Genomic DNA, 21,388 nt, shown 5'->3' with positions numbered 1-21,388 from the left:
TTGCCATGTTGGCCAGGCTGGTCTCGAACTCCTGGCCTCAAGTGATCCTCCCTCCTTGGCCTTCCAAACTGCTGGGATTACAGGCATGAGCCACCACGCTTGGCCTGCTTTTGCATTTTTGATAAGTTATCAGGTGATGTTAATGTTGCTGTTTCTCAGGACCAAATATTGAGAACCACTGGTCTGATCTTTTAGGTATCTTAAAACAAGACAAATTGCTATGTGGTGGGATTTGTTATTTTTGTTACATACAGATTTGGTTATCTAAATATTTCAAAAATAAGCATTTTAAATGCATATAGACTTTTAGATAAATCAACAATGGCTATATCATAAAACTGTAAATTTCGAGACTTAGACATAACTCTAGAAGCTAAATATGATAAAATACACACCTGCTCTCTGACATTTGAAACCCACTGATCTAAACCAATGATTCTCAGTGGGGGGGCCAATTCTACAATCCAAAGGACATGTGACAATGTTTGGAAACTTTTTTTTTTTTTTTTTTGAGGTGGAGTCTCACTCTGTCGCCCCAGGCTGGAGTGCAGTGGCACAATCTCAGCTCACTGCAACCTCTACCTCCCAGTTTCAAGCAATTCTCATGCCTCAGCCTCCCAAGTAGCTAGGATTACAGGCACCCGCCACCACACCCAGCTAATTTTTCTATTTTTAGTAGAGATGGGTTTTCGCCATGTTGGCCAGGCTGGTCTCAAAAACTCCTGACCTCAGGTGATCCGCTCGCCTCGGCCTCCCAAAGTGCTGGAATTACAGGCATGAGCCACCGTGCCCAGCCTCTGGAGACATTTTTAATTATCCCAACTGTGGGAAGAGTGGGTGATGGTGCCAGGATCTAGTGGGGAGGGGCCACAGATGCTGGTAAACATCCTATCATGCACAGGACAGCCCCCACAACAATTGTTTTGACCAAAATGTCAATAGTGCTGGGACTGAAATACCTCAAGGTTGGTTAGAAGGTGAGAGTCCAGCACAGCCTGGAGATTAAGAACCCAGCATGGGCCGGGTGCTGTGACTTAGGCCTGTAATCCCAGCACTTTGGGAGGCCGAGGCGGGCAGATCACCTGAGGTCAGGACTTTGAGACCAGCCTGGCCAACATGGTAAAACCCCGTCTCTACTAAAAATACAAAAAATTAGCTGGGTATGGTGGCAGGCACCTGTAATCCCAGCTATTCAGGAGGCTGAGGCAGGAGAATCCCTTGAGCCCGGGAGGCAGAAGTTGCAGTGAGCTAAGATTGCACCACTGCACTCCAGCCTGGACAACAGAGTGAGACTCTTTCCCAAAAAAAAAAAAAAAAAAGAATCCAGCATGCCCAGGAATCCTTCTGACTATGGAGACACAGAGCCACACACACCAATGAACTCAGATAATGCACCCTGCACCCCCGATCAAGGACCGGCTATAAAATAAAAGCAATCGGCCAAGCGCAGTGGCTCACACCTGTAATCCCAGCACTTTGGGAGGCTGAGGCGGGCAGATCACCTGAGGTCAGGAGTTCGAGACCACCCTGAAACATGGAGAAACCCTGTCTCCACTAAAAATACAAAATAAGCTGGGCATGGTGGCACACACCTGTAATACTAGCTACTCGGGAATTTGAAGCAGGAGAATCGCTTGAACCCAGGAGGCGGAGGTTGCGGTGAGCCGAGATCGCGCCATTGCACTCCAGCCCAGGCAACAAGAGCAAAACTCCGTCTCAAAAAAAAAAAAAAAAGCAATCATAACTGAAATCCAAGAGGAAGCAAACTGAGTGAGGCAACAGCAACAGACAGCAGTGCCCTGAAAGGACCAAGAAAGCCCTAAGTGAATGAACAGGCACCAACTACTGATGTTTTCTTTTTTTCACTCTAAGTAACTGGGAAGTGAAAGAGGGACTTGAGCATATATCTAAATACATGCAGATCTGCAATGAAAGCAAGATGAAAAACAGATACGTATTGGAAATGCACAGCGTTGTCCTCAGAGACAAATTTCTCAACACTGAACTTGAACCCTTTCTTTAAAAAAGATTTCTCAAAAGCAGTGTACCCTCTTTAAGAACAGCAGAGTGAAAAAACATTCTAAACCCATTTCTGTAGACAGTCTGTACTGGCTTAAAATAGCTCTGAGCAGAGAAAACATAACAACATGTACCTTGTACAGGGCCAGGAAGACATGCAAAGTTGAGGTATTTCTTTTGAAATATTTATATAAAATATATCTGAATAATCTGTGACTCAAATATACAATTAGATTCTTTTAATCAAAGCATTTAGCATTATCACGACACTACCCCTAACAATAACAGCTAAGACTTACTCATGACTTACTATGTGCCAGGCACTATTATGAAATATTTTATATGTAATATCCCACTTAATTTTCAAAACAAAGCTACAATGTAGTTTTTTGTTATTACACCCATTTTACAGATGAAGAAAGTAAGGCACAGAGAAGTTAAATAACTTGGCCAAGATTAAATGTTAGCAAATGCCATTTCAGAATTTAAATGTAGGCACACTTACCTATTAACACAGAAAATGGGAGGCGTAAAATGTAAAGACATTGAAAAAAGAAGCCATTCCTGAATTTAAGGCTAAATATATCACCACAAGCATCTCTCTCTAGAATATTAAAATGTAAAGCCCTACTCTGATGAATAAAGAAGTTGGCTACTCCCAGAGAACACAGAAAAAACGACGTGAGCATGAAGCCTTCCTGCATATACAGTGTTGCTGACACCACTTGTTCAGTTCTGCGGACAACCTGCATATGTCAGGTGTAAAGACAGATGCCACTTTCATTAAATCTCTGCAGAAAGAACACATAAATGGAACAATGCTTAAGAAACTCCAAGTGACAAGGTGCTAATAGCCTTTCCTTTGCTCCAGATGCTGTATTAACAAGCAACCCTGGACAGGAAAGATTGGACCAACTTCTCGCATCCAGGCTTTGCCAAGAAAGAGAGAGAGAGATATTGAACAGAGAAGACCCAACATGTTCTCCACAGAGACCACTTCAGAGAGAGTAAAATGATAGAGGGTTAAGTGCTATTTAAACTCCAAAAGTTTTTTTCTAGAAAGGCAAACTGTTGAAAAGGAAATCGCTCCCAGAACTTTACAGTTAATTCACAAACAATGAATTTGGGGGAGATAAAATTCTGATAAGGAGCAAGACATCCAAGATGCTTGAAGGGAAACATCTGTACACCCAAGCCAAATATGTGACTACGTCACTCTGTGCAGCCTAGTTTTGATTATCAACAGCACAAGCAGTGACTGTGATTCAGTGAACAAAGTTGTACAAAATGTTTCCCCAAACTTCAACATTTGTGCTGTCCCAAGGATGCTGGCAAAGAATATAAATTGGACCAAGAGATTTAAAAGAAAAGGAGCTGAGGCTGGGCATGGTGGCCTGTGCCTGTAGTCTCAGACACTCAGGAGGCCAAGATAGGAGGAGTGCTTGAGTCCAACAGTTGGAGACCAGCCTGAGCAACAAAGCGAGATGCCACGTTTTAAAATGCTTTAGTTAGTTAGTTAGTTAGTTAGTTAGTTAAAGATAGATAGATAGATAGATAGATAGATAGATAGATAGATAAAGATAGATATTCTTATAAGAAAAGGAGCTGGAATACTCTAAGTGCCAAACTGAACTGCCCAAGACTTAGCAAAAAACAAAGCACAGCTGCTTCTCTTCAGGTCATGCCTATGACAGATGATAAGATCTTTTTTTGGTTGCTAGTGACAGCTGATTTAAGACAGATGGATTCAGGAAACCAAGAAATGACCACTGATAACATTCACTGGCCTGGACTTCTCCTGGCCACACCTTAGCTCAGATTCTGCAAGTGAGTGTGGCTGTGCCCCATAAGGTTAGGCATCAAAGAGCAGAGAGATTGCCTTAAAAGAACCTTGCAAGGTTCTCAGTCACTTCCCCGCATCTGGGCGTCTTGATTTTCTTTGTCTGTTCTACAGGGTAACTAAGAAAGTCCTCTGTGCTTGTTTTCTGAGACAGCAAATAAGGAGGTCCCTGAGGAATATCATCCTATCTGCCAGGCTTGAAAGAAAAGACAGCCACAAGCAACATAGTACACAATGGTAGCTTTGAAAGGACACAGAAAAGCAGGCTGCACTCTTGAGGGCCTCAGCAAGGAGGACAGGGCTCCACAAGGAGCTCCTCATGGCAGAAAAGAGGCCATAGGTCCTCATCACCTGGACACCCCTCTCCCAGGACAGGGAGATAGTGAAAGGGTCAGGAAATTGGGACAGTAAATGAGAATGAGAAGGACTACTCTGCAGCTTCTAGTGGAGTGGGGAAGGACCATGAGACTTAAGAAATTGTTGTTGGCTATACAGATAAAATCAACTGCCTTCAGAACTGTCTGGGAAGAAAAACAATGTCTCCTTTCATTATGATACTAAATTATCTTCTAAGACATTGGACTAGTTCTACATGCATATTAGCTTATGGTTCTTGTTAATTACATTTCATCTAATGAAAGTGCCATGTGCCTTATCATTTGTGAATCTACTCAACTACCATTTATGAGAGCATTCAAAGGCCCAAGGTAAGAAAGTCCCACGACAAGGGCAAAGATCTGAATCATATAATACAGGCTCACACCTACCTAGGATTCAGCCAAGGAAAAAGCTATGGCTGATTCTGCCAAGACAATGATACTTGGAAGCTGTGACTCTGAAACCACAAGTGAAGTCACAGGACTTTCTCATTCCAGCAAACATACTGTAGTAGAAGACAACACTTCCACACAGGGAGATCTGAAAGAACCCTAAATTGCATGAAAAAGGTTTGCCTCAGGAGCTAGGGTCCAAGGAGCACTGGTCTAAGAAATACACGGATCCAAGCAAAGAGAACAAGCCATTCTGCCAAGTAGACTCTTGTTTAAGACAATGAAATTGACAAGGTGGAGGATTTATTCTCTATTGAGACTTCCTAAATAACAATCAGGTGAAAAAAAAAGCATCCTTCAAAATGCCTATTAGGCAATGATGGCAATGATTCCACTTCCACGAATTTATCCAAGAGAAATAAATATGAGGACATGGACAGTTATAAGGCAAAATATTGGAAATAACCTAAATTATCTGACAATAAGGGACATGGTTAGATAAACTACAGTACTCCTCTACAGTGGGTAAATGGAGTATCATGCTTTCTACTGCCCTAGAAAGCTTTGACCTCAAAAATTAAATTTTAAAAGTATACCACAAAATAGTATTCATGATTCCATTTTTTAAAATATATCATATATTTTATGTAAGTTAGCACAGAAAAATATGAAAAATACTGATTTTTTTTCCAATGATTATATCTAAATTGATAGGATTAGGTGATGTTCGCTTTTTCTTTCCTATGTTTTATTATTGTTTTAGTAATGCAAATATCAGGGATACTTCCAAAATTTAAAAAACAACAATAACAAAACCTTTTGTCCAAGCAATGCATAGGTAGCATTCTTCACCAGGCAGGTTGCACTTAGCTTGATGTTCCCCACCCTGCCTGGAGGAACACAGATGCTGTGATGCCACAGGCTCCATACCCTCTTCAAAAGGCACAATCCACAGGAGCCCATTAAAGACTGAGAAAGTCTGTTTAATTCAGTTCAAGGGTGTTCGCCAAGCATGTGTGATCCCCAAACACCAACAGTTGTTTAAAAGGTTCATGGACAAAGTAGGGTGATTCCAAAGCAAGGTGATCAGAATAGTGATAAGTCTGAAAACAACATCTTCCAAGGACTGAGACTCCAGGATGTGAGCCTATTTAGCCTGAGGACTATAAGACCAAAGAAAAGTATGATAACCTTCTTCAAATACTTGAACTGCACTCATGGATAGGAGGGAGAAAAATTGTTCTGTGATATTCCAGTAGACTATGCAAGAAGAAATGGAGAGTGAGAAGCAGATCCCAGTTCAAAAGAAGACAGGGCTTTTGGGGGCTTTTGCTTTTCTCATCACTGGGAATAGTGAAGCAAAAAGTAGATACCTAGCTGTCGGAGGTGCTACAGAAGAAACTTCTCCTAGGTTAGGACACATGGTTAGATGGCTGCCAAGAGTCCTCCAGCCCCAAGATCCTCTAGGCAGCAATCAATGAGGGCAAGGTCTCAATAAATTTCCCCAGAGTCTGTTTGAGTCAATCTGTCTACACCAGATCCTGTCTGGTGGATATACCTACTAATCCCAGTCAATGTCCATAAATGTCTCCTGAGACTCCAGGGCCCAGGGATCAGCAGAAATAGACACATTTGCCTTCTTAGCAGGAACTAAGCACATCTGTCTCAAACCCTTGCCAAAGGCTGGTGAGGCTGTAAGTACAGCTCAGGACATGTGTACATGCCTGCTTCCTACCTCTAAGAGGACGTCCTGTGCATCTACACATATCTAAAGAAACCAAGACACTTGCTGGCCAATGTTCACCAAGTGATAATGCTTTCAAAAAAAGAAAAACCTTGGGTTGGGCACAGTGGTTCACACCCATAATTCCAGCACTTTGGGAGGCCAAGGCAGGTGGATGACTTGAGCTCAGGAGTTCAAGACCAGCCTGGGCAACATGGTGAAACCCCATCTCTACAAAAAATACAGAAATTAGCCAGGTGGGGCAGCCCATGCCTGTAGTCTTAGCCACTTGGGAGGCTGAGGTGGGAGGATCACTTGAGCCTGGGTGGCACAGGTTGCAATGAGTTGAGATCATGCCACTGCACATCAGCCTGACAAAGTGAGGCCCTGTCAAAAGGGAAGAGGAAGGGGGAAGGGAAGAGGGAAGGGAAGGGGGAAAGGAAGGGAAAGGAGAGGAAGGGAAGGGAAGACCAGCTCGCATATGTAACCCCACTACTTGGGGAGGCTAAGGTGGAAGAACTGCTTGAGCCCAGGAGTTTAAGACTGGCCTAGGCAACAAAGTGAGACCCCATCTCTAGGAAAAAAAAAAATTCGGCATGGTGGCATGTGATTGTAGTCCCAGCTCCCGAGAGGCTGACACAGGAGGATCTCTTGAGCCCAGGATATCGAGGCTGCGGTGAGCTGTGTTTGAACCACTGCACTCCAGCTTGGATGACAGAGCAAGACACTGTCTCAAAAATAAATAAGAAAAACCTTCTCCTAAGAAACAAGATGAGGAAAATAACCCAGTGAACACTCTTTTACCTACTGCCACTACTACTACTGCTACAAAACACACACACACACACACACACACACACACACACACACACCAAGCATCCTTCTTTCCCCTCTTTGCCCCTCTTTCCTCAAAGAGCTGGGGAAAGTGGTCTATCAAGAGGGAAAAAAATAAATAAAACACAGTAACGTAAAGATTTAGACAATGATATACCCCATATATACCAATCCAAATTCTTATATTCTATTAAAAAAAAAAAGCATTTTAGAAAGCAGAGGGGATAAGAGAGGGAACAAAAATCTTTTATCCTTCAGATTGTAGCTACATTTTTCATCTATTTTAACAAAGATATTAACAGCGTTTCCAATGAAATGAAACCTAAAGTTTTTACAGTAACCTTTTACTAAAGTCTTTATTTTTCTCTGTAACTATTTTATAACTATGAAAAAAAGAAGAGTTCTCCCTATTCATTCCATATTTTGATTAGATTTCCTGGCTTCTTAATGTCCACAATGTCCCTTTCATGCTACTCTCCTACTCCCCCCCATCACTTACCTTCCTCCCCTCTCCAGGGTATATACCTAATTGCCCTGGTCCAAGGGTGGCTAAATCCCAGAGACTGGAAAAAGAGTATCTTTTTAGAACAATGAAAAGTTACACCGAGCCTGGTGTATGTTCAACAGCTTCTTTGCCTAAGGTCATTTGACTCGCCTATCCTAACTACAGAAGAAACTGGGGCAGTTGCAGATGAGGAGAGAGTAGAATGTAAATGCAGCTCAGGTAACAAGTTCAAGTCAGCCAGAACTGCCTCCTGAAAACGCACACCCAGGGCCAGAGCCTGCCCCCAGCCCCTACCCAGAGATTAGTGGAAACAGGTAGGAACTGACTCCAGTGTTCGGTTCAGGTAAATTGTGAAGTGCTTAAATATGGATTCTTTTATTTTGAGGTTCCCAGAATTTATGCCAGCATCCTTGGCAACAATGCACGTTCTCTGATAACTCACTCCCAAAGATTGTTTCAGTGTTATTGCTGTTTTCTAAAGCTCAATTTTCTAGAGCCATGTAACTTCACCCAGGTGCTTTGAAAATCACCTATGCACAGAACTGTAAGTGATCCTTAAAAGTTGAGACTCCTAATGGTACCACAAAGGCAACTGTTCAAATTACCCAACAACTGGTACAAGAGCGTCTCACAGAGGGATGTAAACCTGGGGACCTAGAATAATGATTTTCTGACAGCATTCTTCAGAAGACATTGCAGTCTACAAACATTTTATATGAATTTGTCTTATGTCTATTTTAACTACTGGAATAAAACACCAACACACACACTCAGATGTGTTACACCAAGTTTTACACATCAGAGAACAACTACGAGGTACACTGTGCTGCCAGGATAACCCACTTTTGTGCAGATCTCAGAATAAAGCTTCCCCTACCGTCTCTATTTACTTGGAAAGCATCCTGAGATTGCAAGACTAGTTATTTTAAAAACTGTGATATGTGTACTGCTTAACTGGTGAATCGGGAGTCTCTCTATTCCATGCAACCAGAGCAAAAACCAAATCTCCCCTACTATTTCTAATTTGTGTTCATCAAAACAGCCTCACTGAAATCAGTGATTAGGTTTACACTATTATAGGTTTAACTATGAACTCCCAAAATACAATCCCAAAACATTACTACATTATGGGTTCCATGAAAAAAAAAATTGTTTTAAACAGGCACTAAGTCTGAAAACCACTGGCCAAGGCTGATGTTGCCTTAAGAAGCTGAACACAAATTTCAGCATGAATATCCGTCTGAAAAGTGACTATGGCACAGGTCATACTGCTGAATCAAGTTAGGTACTAGAGACTGGCAAACTAGAAAAGCATTAAACAGACTGGTCATGCAAAATGAGTATGGCCTACTGCAAAAGAACAATAGTTTCCATATTGCAGAATATCTGAGTTGAAGATAATTTGTGACTAAGTGGGTCAAATACTTCCAAAACTTCTATATGAGAGATATTTCTTTTTTCATGTCCTCTTAAAAAAAAAGCAGGTGGAATAGAGTTTATACTTTATGTTAATGAAATACAGCACTGCCACCAAAATATTTTAGGGATACGTTACCCAAAATAATACCCCTATGCCTTTCGACATTTTTTTAAGTTAACTTATAGTTACTCCAATCCAGTCTAATTAAGATGTTCAAAAGCCATAAATAAATAGCCAAGGGGAAAAAAATATGTTAAAGGGATTTCAGGCCTGGTGCATTGGCTCATGCCTATAATCCCAGCACTTTGGGAGGCCGACGTGGGAGAATCGCTTGAGTCCAGAAGTTCAAGACCAGCCTGGGCAAAATAATGAGACTGTCTCTAAAAAAAATTAATTAATAAAAAAATTTAATTAGGCAGGCATGGTGGCATGTGCCTGTAGTCCCAGCTACTCAAGAGGCTGAACTGGGCAAGGCTCAGTTCAAGTGATTGCAAGAGGCAATCACTTGAGCAAGGCTCGTGATTGTGATAGTGCCACTGCACTCCAGCTTGTGCAACACAGTGAGACCCTGTCGTTCAGGGGCCGGGGGGGTGGATTTCAGATTAACTTTTCAAAAGAAAACAAATGGACAACAGATGGGCAGTTTTAAAGAGAATAGGTAAACAAAACAGAATAGTTCGATTTGTATGCCACTTCCCCTACTTGCTCAGTTTAAGAAGAAAAGAAGTCCTGCTTCTGACCCATTTTACAAAGGGTGTGGAAGAAGAAGGGGTTGGCAAAGATGATGTAACCCAAATTCCAAATCAAACAGAAGAAACCAAAGTGGAGACTAGGAATGACTTTTCATACACTTTAAGGCCACCATCCTGGAGAGAGGAGTGCCACATTCCTCTCCCCCAAACAGGCAACAGCAGAACTGTGGGAAACAAGAGGTCATCAGGGCTCTTGCTCCTGCCAGACATTGTTTTTCCTTCAACTTAGTTCTCAAAAAAAAAAAAAAAAAAAAAAAGAATCCCAGCACTTTGGGAGGCCAAGGCAGAAAGCTTGCTTGAACCCAGGAGTTCAAGAAGCAGCTGGACAACGTGGTGAAACCCATCTCTACAAAAAGTACAAAAATTAGCCGGGTGTGGTGGCACACGCCTGTAGTCCCAGCTACTTGGGAGGCTGAGGTGGGAGGATCACTTAAGCCTGGGAGATTGAGGCTGCAGGGAGCTGTGTTCATGTCACTGTGCTCCAGCTTGGGTGATAAAGTGAGACCCTGTCTCAGAAAAAAAAGAAGTCCAGACAATGACAAATGCTGCCAAGGATTTAGAGAAACTAGACCACTCATACATTGCTGGTAAAACCATATAATGGTACAGCCACTCTGGGAAACAGTTTGCCAGTTTCTTATAAAAGTAAACACGCAATTCCCATGCAAACCAGCAATTGCACTCCTTGGCATTTATCACAGAGCAAGGAAAAGTATGTTCACTCAAAAATCTGTACACAAATGTTTACACCAGTTTTATTCCTAATAGACAAAAACTGAAAACAACTCAGATGTCCATCAACTAGCCAATGGCTAAACCAAACGTGGTACATCCATACCATGAAGTACTCCTTAGCTAAATTGATACAACTTGGATGAAGGTCCAGGGAATTATGCTGAGCAAGAACAACCAATCCCAAAAAGGGGATACTGTATGAGTACATTTATATAATGTTCTTAAAATGACAAATTTATAGAAATGGAGAACAGATTAGTGGCTACCAGGGATCAGAGAAGTGGGGAATGCTAGGTATGGCTATAAAAAGGCAATGTTAGGGGTCCTTGTGGTGATGGAAATCTGCATTTTACAGTGTCAATCAATGTCAGTATCCTGGTTGTGACATTATACTGTAATTTTGCAAAAAGGGAAAACTAAATAAAGGGCATAAGATAACCTCTCTGAATTATCTGATATAACTGCAGACAAATCTACAATTATTTAAAAATGAAAAAGTTTAATTTTAAAAAATACATAAGTTAAAATACATTTTTTACACTCCAAGTACTATAAAAATTGGGTGAAGATTCATTTAGCAAATGGGAGAAGGGAATTAGAGTCAAATAAACATAGAATCACTTTCTAATGACATCCCCTAAAGACAACAGAGAAAGGTATTTCAACAACATATGACATGTCAAGCCAACGTAGCCCAGAGTGGAACTACTCACAATGTAGATTTTAAAAAACATGGCTAAAGGACCATTCCTCAGGAGAACACTCCTAATGATGGAGAGCCTATTCAAGCCTGTTCTATCTTTTCTTAACTGTCCCAAGAGGCATCATCTCTGGCCTGTTCCTTCTTAGCCCATGGTCATTAGGGTCTCTGGCTAAATAAGTTTGGAAAAAACAGCATACTTTATCCAATTCTTAGAAATTTACAATGCACAGGGCTGTATTAATGGCTCTGAAAACTCATGCAGTAAAGAAACTGATTTATCTTTAACACTCTGCCAAATTTATTTGAGAATAGAACACTCCTGCCCCAGAACATCTAGCATTTCTGATTTCACTTGAGGAGAGCATACCTTAGGAATTTTAGATCCAGCTTGTTGCCCTCTATCCTGCTAATAAGGTGCCACAAACTGTGAATAAACCCTCTTGGCCTTATGGTGAACTGACCTCAACCTGTCAATGGAGGCAGCAGATACTTGGGCTTCAGAAGGAATGGCACTTTCCGCACCACGGAGAAAACAGAATGCAGGACCCCTTTGTTCCTCTTGCCTTATCATTTTTTGGGTGTTTGCTGCATGCAGCCACTGTGCTATGCAGTATTTAAATAAATTCCACTTGATATGCAAAGCAACCACATACCAATAGATACTGTTATAACATAAGATTTTTTCCATACGGAAAAAAAAAAAAAAAAAACCTGATTCTTAACATTGTCACAAAGTTACTGAGCAACAGTGTGAACCCAAAATCTGGGCCCTTAACCACTGAGCCTTAATATTTCATTATACACAGGTGGCAAGAAGAGACCTGTTTAACCAGTCCTAACTTTCACCTGACATCCCAACTGCAAGGACAGGACTCAGGCTTTACACCTGCCCATTCTCTACCCTGTATATGCCTTACCCCAGCTGTACCTTAGTATGTTTCTCTAACATAAGCTCTCTCAGGCTTCCAGACGTATTCTGTTCCCTTTGTCCAGAACATGTCTCCACTCTCTTCGCTTGGCTAACTCCTACTCATCCAGTGAACGCCAGCTTAAGCTTATCTTCCTTCTGAAGTCTTCCCTGATTCTCAGGCCTGAGTTGGGAGTTCCTCTCCGTGCTCCTGAAGCCCCGATTCATCCACTCATAGCACATCTGAAACCACTGCCTGGCTACATGTTTACCTCCCCAACTAGACTGTAAGCTTCGAGTCCCATGAAGTCAAAGACTAGGACTATTTTGTATACACCATGTGCCTGGGACACAGCAGGTTCTCAATAAATATAAAACTAGTGTATAAATCAATCAATCAAAGACAGAGAGACTCTAAAGTCCAAATCTCCCCTATCATTGTTTGAAGTCAGCAACCATGGAACAAAGTAACAGCTGCCTTCTTTTTGACCACAAAGGCAAAGCAGATAGGCTCTGAGTGAGGCAGAGCTGGGTTCGAATCCCAGCTGTTATTAACTAGCCAAATGATGTGAAGCAATTTACTTTGGCCTCGCCAAATCTCAATTTCCTCATCTGTAAAATGGAGATGTAAAAAGTGCCTACCTCATAGCGTTGTAGTGGGGATATAACAAGGCAATGCGTAATTAAGTACTCAGCACAGTCTCTGGCACTTGGCCAGTGTTTAATAAATATTAGCTATTATGATCATGGCTGGTCTGAGTGTAGGGGTGTTTACAACTAATTGATCACAACTCATTATAGATTTCTTTGCTCTTCCTCCAATCCCATTGCTTCACTTGACTAGACTTCAAAAACAGATTTTTAGAAATATTAGCTATTATGATTATAGGAAGATGAAGATAAGCCCTCTACAAAAGATAAGCTAGAAATAGTATAAAGTCTCAAGTGTAAGAAGAAAGAACCACGTAAAATACAGCACACTCCTACTTTTATAAGAAGAAAAGGAGTGAATGGTGGGCAATGGGGGAAGTAACAAAAGCACAACTCAAAAAGCGTACTGTAGATATTCAGCCAACTCATTTATGAACCATTTTAGTAGGCTAACAATGGATTAAGCAATTAAATTTCTCTAAACTCAGAAACTCAGAAATCCACAACTTTGAGGTTACTTCATACATCTTCTTGTTCTAACTTGAAGCCTGTCAAAGAAAGCCAGACCTTGAGTATTTCTATTAATAATTCCTGCCCATGCAAGTAAGTAACAGCCACAATGAGTTCCGGCCATGCTTCTAGAAACTGCTTAGATTCCATATTTGGGGAGATAAATGCTTAAACTCAAATACATTTTTAATTTGGTTACAACTTTAATCAATTCCAGCTGTTAGATGAGGCCAAAAAAACTTACAATTAAGTACTAATCATAAGCATGTTTAAATAGTGCTAATTTTATACTGGACATTTAAATTTGTCTTTGAAATTTTAACATGGTAAATTGCACTCATGATGTGGGTTTGTTCTTAGCATAATAATAATTTCCATATCAAATAATACCAAGCCCCAATTTTTTAGACTGTCATAGCAACCACTACCTTATATTTAAGTTGTAGAGAAGTTGATTCATCTTATAAAGTTACTACATTATTAAAAACTTACTTTAAATTTGTAAAAAAGCAAATGACAGAAACAATATTTCTTCTCTACACTACCACTTCCAAAAAATAGCACAATCATTGTTGAACAACATCAAGAAAAACATAACTTAAGGAAATCTCACCTTTACTGAAGTTAAATACAACAGAACAATGGCACCAATCATTTCTTCTACTGATAACTTAATCATGCAGTTTACATAAGCACATTTTGTTGCTGGGCAAAAGCCATTCAAGTTTTCCCATTCAATGCCTTTACCATCCCGACTTGTATATATAGACAACATAGAAACAGAAGTCATCCATCACAAGCATAATCCTTACTAACAAGAAAAGACAATCACATATCCTGGAGTTAGATATTTTAGAAGATTCTCAAGACAGATGTGATCAGAAAGACACTTCAAATTCTTTGGCAACTTTAACTGAAGCAATGGAATATTAAAAATATTCTTTTTCAGGCCACGCACAGTGGCTCATGCCTGTAATCCCAGCACTTCGGGAGGCCGAGGCAGGCAGATCGCTTGAGTCCAGGAGTTTGAGACCAGCCTCGGGAATACAGGGAGACCCTGTCTCTACAAAAAATAAACAAAATTAGCTGGGCATGATGGCTCACACCTGTAGTCCCAGCTACTCAGGAGGCTGAGGTGGGAGGATCGCTTGAGCCTGGGAGGTTGAGGCTACAATGAGCCAAGATCACACCATTGCACTCCAGCCTGGGCAACAGACTGAAATCCTGTCTCAAAAAGACTTTAAAAAATTAAGAAATTATACTCTTTCAATAACATACCTGGGATTTGTTTTAAAATTCTCCAGAGGAAAAAAAAAACAGCAACAACAAACAAACACCATGGGGAAGATATTTAATATTAGTACAATGCTGAAAATGGTTGAAGCTGGGAAGGACAGGTACACAGAGTTCGATATACTATTATCTGCTTTTTGCATATGTTTGAAAATATCCATGATAAAAAGTTAAACAGTATTCTCTCCATCAAAATATTCTTTCCACCTAAGCTTAAATTTAGATTTGCCACAATCTCAACCTAGAAACCATTAAAATATCACAAAATGTTTTCACCTCTCTAAAGGTACAACTCTGTCACTGACACCTCTCTAAGAAGTTTTCTGCAGCAGGGCCCAATCCCTCAGCATCTCCTCTCACAAACTAGAAGGAACCCCAAGTCCAGTCGCAACACTAGCAGATACTGCCTTCAGCAGGAGTTTCCCTCCAAAGCACCAACACCCTAAGTAAAATGACAATGTTTTGTTAGCTCATCACCCCTTAGATGGACTCATATATAACATCTGAGAAAATCTAATTAAGTAATTAAACCAACATGAGATGAACTTTTTAAACTCCTCCATAAGACTTTATGAATAAAGTCATAGGATCACCCACCACACACCAAATAAAAAAGTTCCATTTAACATCAAACTCTGAATATTATGAAAACAGGCTCTAAGAGATTACCTAAATATAGGCAGCAATTACAACTTTGAGAAATACAATCTAAAAGCCTTTGATCTTTAAAATTCAAATTACCCTATTTTTAACTTTTGACAAAGAAATATTCCAATTAACCTAAGACAAAATGGTCATCAGAACTTTTGAACAATATATAAAACACAGAAGTAATGCTGCATGAAAATTAAGCAATCTAAACAATGAAAACACACTTTCATTTCCAAACATTTAATAAAAATAAACAGCAATACTTACCAGCACTTTGTTTTCAACTTTGTCTCCCTTAACTTCCAACTTTACTTTCTTCTTCACTGAAATTTTTATCTTTCTGCCAATAACATCCTTTATGCTTTCTGAAAAAAAAAAGGAATTATGTTATTAATAAGAAAAAAAGCACTGAGGAGGAGTAAGCATTTGGAGGAGTATATTTGGTTGTTTTTACTGTTGTTGTCTTTTGAGACAGAGTCTTACTCTGTCACCCAGGCTGGAGTGCAGTGGTGAGATCTTGGCTCACTGCAACCTCCGCCTCCTGGGTTCAAGTGATTCTCCTGCCTCAGCTTCCCGAACAGCTGAGACTACAGGCGCACACCACCAGGTCCGGCTAATTTTTTGTATTTAGTAGAGATGGGGTTTTACCATGTTGGTCAGGCTGGTCTTGAACTCCTGACCTCAAGTGATCCGCCTGCCTTGGCCTCCCAAAGTGCCGGGATTACAGGCATGAGCCACCGTGCCCGACCGTTTGTCTTTTTTTACTTGTTTTAACAAGTTGGATGGTTATCACCCATCAAGTATTTAATAAACACCTACTTTGTACCTCGTACTGTATATTGATATGCTGAGGCAAACACAAAAGCACGACATAATACCAGCCCATGCAAGGCATGACATAATCTTGTTTGGAAAATAAGATACATATAAAAGAAAAAACAAAGAACAGCAAACAGTGAAGTTGGGCAGTATGATGAAACACTACGTTGCATGCAGAACACAACAGGAATTCATAAATTCCCTCTGCCCCTGGCTGGTTACCTCTGGTGCCCAGCAGCCTCTGGGTTCACCATAGTGTCATACAAATATTAGCATTCTCTATGAGTAAGTCTTGACATGATGTTTGGGGAATACGGCAAAACAAAACAGAACAGAACCGGGCTGGGCACGTTGGCTCACGTCTGTAATCCCAGCACTTTGGGAGGCTGAGGAAGGTGGATCGCTTGAGGCCAGGAGTTCAAGACCAGCCTGGCCAACATGGATAAACCCTGCCTCTACTAAAAATACAAAAAAAAATTAGCCAGGTGTGGTGGTGCGTGCCTGTAATCTCAGTTAGTCCAGGGGCTGAAGCACGAGAATTGCTTGAAACCGAGAGGTGGAGGTTGCAGTGGAGCTGAGATCGTGCCACTGCATTCCAGCCTGAGTGACACAGTGAGACTCTGTCTCAAAAAAATAAAAATAAGCCAGAACTATACCAGATGATTTACTCAAACAAAGGCACTCCCAGCCATCTGTCCTTCCAAAATCATGACAGCACAATACCCCCAAGAAGTGGTCAAAGGCAATAGAAGGAGAAATCTGGAGACTTCACATTTCAGATGGTGGTGGAAAAGTCTTCCTAGGGCTCCCATGAGTACCTCAAAATGAATACGTCTGAAATCAAACTCATTATCTCCTACTCTGGACACTAATGTTGCTGGAAAATGCTTATGTCCAACTCCTTTCTCTCAGACAGAAAGTCAGTCTCCTAAAATCTACCTCCTCCACGGCTCCTGACTACCTAGGCATGACTGCAGTAAGGGCCTCAGAATCTCTCACCAAGACTAAGTCCATGGCCTCTAACCCATCAGCCCACTGTCACCTCCATAACCACAGTGACTCTTCCAAAACTGTGAGATTCATCACGTCCCTCCCAGTCTACGAGTTGCAGTCATTTTTGAATAAACCCAAAACTCATGGCATGCCATTCAAGGTCTTTCACATTTATTTTCAGTGTGACTTCTCAGCACATACCTAAACATCCAATTATTCCTAATATCTTCATCTTTTACACCCCTAGGATTGTGTATCTATTATTCTCTTTCCTGGGATGCCCTTTCCCTATTGTCCTCCTGGTTATATTCTACTTATCCTCCAAAATACAGTCCCCTCCTCTATGCTCCCATACCTCTGTATTCTGTATTATAATCATTTTGGTCTATTCACATGTTCAACAAATAAATGTACATAGGAGTACCTCTTGTATGTCAGGTACTCTACTAGGTGCTAGATAGAGATGGTCTTTGCATTTCACAGGAGTTTGCAATCTAGTGGAGGTCACTGAGAGATGTCATAAAAGAAATTCACACACAATGCATAAGATCATGGATTCGGAAGCACGCAAAGGTTTCAGGGAGGAGAGGATCCCTGAGCTGAATCTTGAAGGCATAGGAAATAAGATCACTGGTTTCCAAAGTAGAGTGTACAATATAATCCATTGAGATGAAAGAAGAAAATAGAATTTTCATTTCTACTTACAATGTGTGTTTCAGTTTGTGTTTTAGATTATACACACTAAATGGAGCATGTAGTTTAACAAATATATGTTTAATAAGGGGTAATCAAAATTTTCTTCTTGGAAATACCGCCATGAAAGTTTAGAGCTGCTGAGATAAAGAGTGAAAACGGGGAGAAAAAGACAGTGTACGCATAAAGAACAGCATGGAAATCTGAGAAAGCACAGCCTGTTCAAGGAACAGCAAGGAGGTGGAATGTTTGGGGCAAGGGAACATGTAGAAGAGCTCACTGCACTATGAGTTCTTCACAAAGCTCCTATCTTATCAGAACTCGAGAAACAAGCACAGGCCACTCCTCCCTCCCCTAAAAAAGAATTGCGGGAAATGGGCATCTGAAATTGACTTAAGAACATATACACATGGAAACAGACTGGAAAATCATATACCCTTTAAAATAACTACCTCTAAGTGGTAACAGGAGTGACATATAGTCTTCTTATTCTTCTCTACATTTAAATTGTTTCTACATAAAGTCTATAACACTTTTTTTTTTTTTTTTTTTTTTTGAGATGGAGTTTCACTCTTATTGCCCAGGCTGGAATGAAATGGCTTGATCTCGGCTTACGGCAACCTCCGCCTCCCGGGTTCAAGTGATTCTCCTGCCTCAGCCTCCCGAGTAGCTGGGATTACAGCCACGTGCCCCCACGCCCAGCTAATTTTTGTATTTTTAGTAGAGACCGGGTTTCTTCATGTTGGTCAGGCTGGTCTCCAACTCCCGACCTCAGGTGATCCACCTGCCTCGGCCTCCCAAAGTGCTAGGATTACAGGGGTGAGCCACCACGCTCAGCCAAGTCTGTAACACTTTTTAAATATCTTGAGGGAATCTTAAGGGAATATATAGAGGTTTTCATGTGGTCGGTCGCCATTTTGAATTGATCAGAGCAGAACTCTTGTGAGCACTTGAATTTAGAGGAAAGCAGGTGCAGGTATTTATTCTATCCCAGCCTAACTTGACCACTGAAAGGCCCAGAAAAATCATATCGGGCATAATATGTCACTCTCTTGAAAGAGATAGGCAATACTTAATAAAAACAAAAATTCCATTTCAAGATAAAGGTCAAACTCAACTTTTAAAATATACAAACTATTCCTTTTGAGAACCATGAATAGAAACCCAGACACCTTATTTCCACTCTACCCTTCACTCTTTCTCTTGGGCCTAAGTAATTACCTACACTTTCCATTTCCAGACTTAAGGACAACTCCTTATATAAAGTAAAAATCTGCCACCCACTTTAGCCATCCTTATCCCCTGACCAGCCAGGCAAGCCCTGCCCTACACTCATTCTCAGGACCTCTGGAGGCGTCTTCAGAGCCTCTGGCGTTTGCTTGGGGTGTTGGAAAGGTCGCAGCCTCCCAGAACCGGATGTGTCACTCACTCCAGCAAAAGATGCAGACTCCACAGGGTTGGGGAGAGAGAAGAGGATCTGCTGGGATCATGATGAGAGGTGCGTGTGTGTGTGTGTGTGTGTGTGTGTGTGTGTGCGCGCGCGCACACGCGCGTGCGTCTGTGAATAATTTCATACTGTAAATTCTGGTAAAAGATCAGGTTTGTCTGTAATTCAGCAGAAGTAGGGGCTTCCATACAAACCTAGCAACAGCCTCTCTACATCAAGTTTTACCTGCTGAGTTAACAGTCACCAACGGAAGGGCATACACAAATTCCTCCAAAGTATTATTAGCTAAAAGAAACAACAGAGGGGCAAATTCCACACATGGAGATCAACGGGTGCTCAGAACTTCCTCTTGTTGTCAGCGCCGATTAAACATCATCTTTGTGAGCTGTAGGCTGTGTAGTGTGCCAAGAATGGTACAGGAGGGAATATAGGTCACTAGGGCTCAAAACACATCTGTACACAGACGCACATACCTTGTTACAGTATAACATGCTACACACATATACATGCTTAAACGCTAGGTTTTCAGAACACTCTCCCATCCTATTTCAGCTCTGCCATTTTAACCCTCCAGATAATTAAGTTAAACCCCAAGACTTAACCAGCCCCGCCCCCACCACCACCAAAAAAAAAAAAACCTCAAGGTACTCAAACAATGGGTCACCTTGCACAGCGTAACACACACGGGTTCCCTAAGAGATCCCCTATAGGGAGAATCGGTAGGTTAATCATTATTAAAATAAGGCTTTTATCATTAACCCTCTATTTCCTGGCCTGAGTCTGCGTCAGCCCTGTAACCCTTTCGCTCCCAGCTGGCTACACCAAGCCACACCTTGCCAAGCCCAGTCATTTTACCAGACTAGCGCCCACTCCCCCAAGTCTGCGTGTCAGAAGATCACCTCCCGCGGGGCATTTTCAGGAAAGCGCCTGACACGTGCCGGAGACGACCTACTGTGCGCTCGCCACCTGTCCTTCCAATAGGCTTTCCCGGACTTTCCCGAGTTTGGGGCAGTGGGCTGGGAGCTGTAAAGGGCTCCCCTCGCTTGCAGAACTCCCAAGTCTAAGATGGCCCGCCCCCTTCTTTCGCCAACCTGGATCCCCGCTTCCGGGCAAGAGGAGGTGCCCAGGGCTCACAGTCGAGACCCTCCTCCCACCCACCTCCCGAGGACTCCCGATTCCTCCCCGAAGCCTTCCCTCTCTGCACTTGGCTCTACAGGCGGTCGGATGGGAACAAACTTCCCGGCACCCCCAGTGACCCTGCCCAACACCACTCTGCCCTAAGGGGCGCCAAGACTTCTCGAGACCTGCGGGAAAGCAGAGGTGGGAAGGGAGAGAGAGGTGAGGAGTACGCAGAGGAAGGTGGAAAACCAACAACCGCGTGAATCTTACCTATCAACTCCCTGGGAACGTCAGAGCTCTCCTCGGTCATGGTTGCCCTGTAGGTGTGGGGGTTATTGCAGGTCCAACTCTGATTTATGGCCCCCTGCCCTTCCCCGAACTCCTCAATTTTTTTAGAGAGGCAGATGCAGCTTGCAAATGGAAGTGGGCAAGAAAAGGGGGGGCGGAGACAGAATTTTGCCGCGCGCCCCCCGCCCCACCAAAAAAAAAAAAAAGAGTTGCAAATGCGAGGCGGATTTGCTGCTGCTGCTACATGACGCCTCCTCGCAGTTCCCGGCGGCTGAATAAGGAGCGGACCGGATTACAAGCGGGCGCGGGGCGCGGGGCGGCTGTGGCGCCTGCTCCTCCTCCCGGCTCGCTGGTCCCCGGCGGGGCTTGGGCCGGCGTAGCTCCCGCCCAGCCTCCGCGCCGCACCTACAGCCCTAGGTGAAAGCGGAAGGCGTGGGAGAGGGCGGGGAGAGCGGCGCGGGGCGGGGGGAGTAGGTTTTCCTCGCGCTCCTGCCGGGCTCCGGCTGGGCGGGGGCAGCTCCGGCCCTCCTCCTTCTCCTCCTTCTCCTTCTCCTCTTCCTCCTGCGTTTCCTCCTCACCTCGCGAGAGCCGGCCTCCGCACCGGTGCGAGGCCGGCCTCCGGTGCCCGAGCGCTGGGTCCCCGGCGTAGGTCGCACCCCCAGGAGAGACGCTGTGCGGTGCTGCGGTGGCGGCGGCGGGCACCGCGCCCCTCCTCG

At 42.6% G+C, this 21,388-nt stretch overlaps 1 protein-coding gene across 20 annotated transcripts in view, besides 2 other annotated features; it reads right to left on the bottom strand.

The window, feature by feature from the left end:
• The window catches only part of CARMIL1 (capping protein regulator and myosin 1 linker 1), a 341,157-nt gene extending 320,041 nt beyond the window's left edge, over positions 1–21,116 (bottom strand). For all 20 annotated transcript variants that reach the window (XM_017011008.2, XM_017011009.2, XM_017011015.2 and 17 more), the window contains exons 1-2: positions 20,655–21,116; positions 15,581–15,678 (exon numbers count right to left, since the gene is read on the bottom strand). In XM_017011008.2, coding sequence (XP_016866497.1) covers positions 15,581–15,678; positions 20,655–20,694 — 138 coding nt within the window. In that variant the 5' untranslated portion in view covers positions 20,695–21,116. The remainder of the gene's footprint in view (positions 1–15,580; positions 15,679–20,654) is intronic.
• Positions 7,559–8,059: an enhancer, noted in NCBI's record as "H3K27ac-H3K4me1 hESC enhancer chr6:25292659-25293159 (GRCh37/hg19 assembly coordinates)". NCBI's record gives its function as "activates a minimal SCP1, AML or CMV promoter by ChIP-STARR-seq in primed H9 embryonic stem cells {active_cell/tissue: H9 hESC(primed)}" and the evidence as "EXISTENCE:reporter gene assay evidence [ECO:0000049][PMID:30033119]".
• Positions 20,919–21,388: a silencer, noted in NCBI's record as "silent region_16995". NCBI's record gives its function as "represses an Ori minimal core promoter by ATAC-STARR-seq in GM12878 lymphoblastoid cells {active_cell/tissue: GM12878}" and the evidence as "EXISTENCE:reporter gene assay evidence [ECO:0000049][PMID:35858748]".

Source organism: Homo sapiens, chromosome 6 (genome assembly GCF_000001405.40).
Source record: "Homo sapiens chromosome 6, GRCh38.p14 Primary Assembly".
In the NCBI taxonomy this organism is placed as follows: Eukaryota; Metazoa; Chordata; class Mammalia; order Primates; family Hominidae; genus Homo; species Homo sapiens.
Note: the sequence above shows the minus strand (reverse complement) of the source record. Positions and strands in the feature narration are given on the sequence as shown.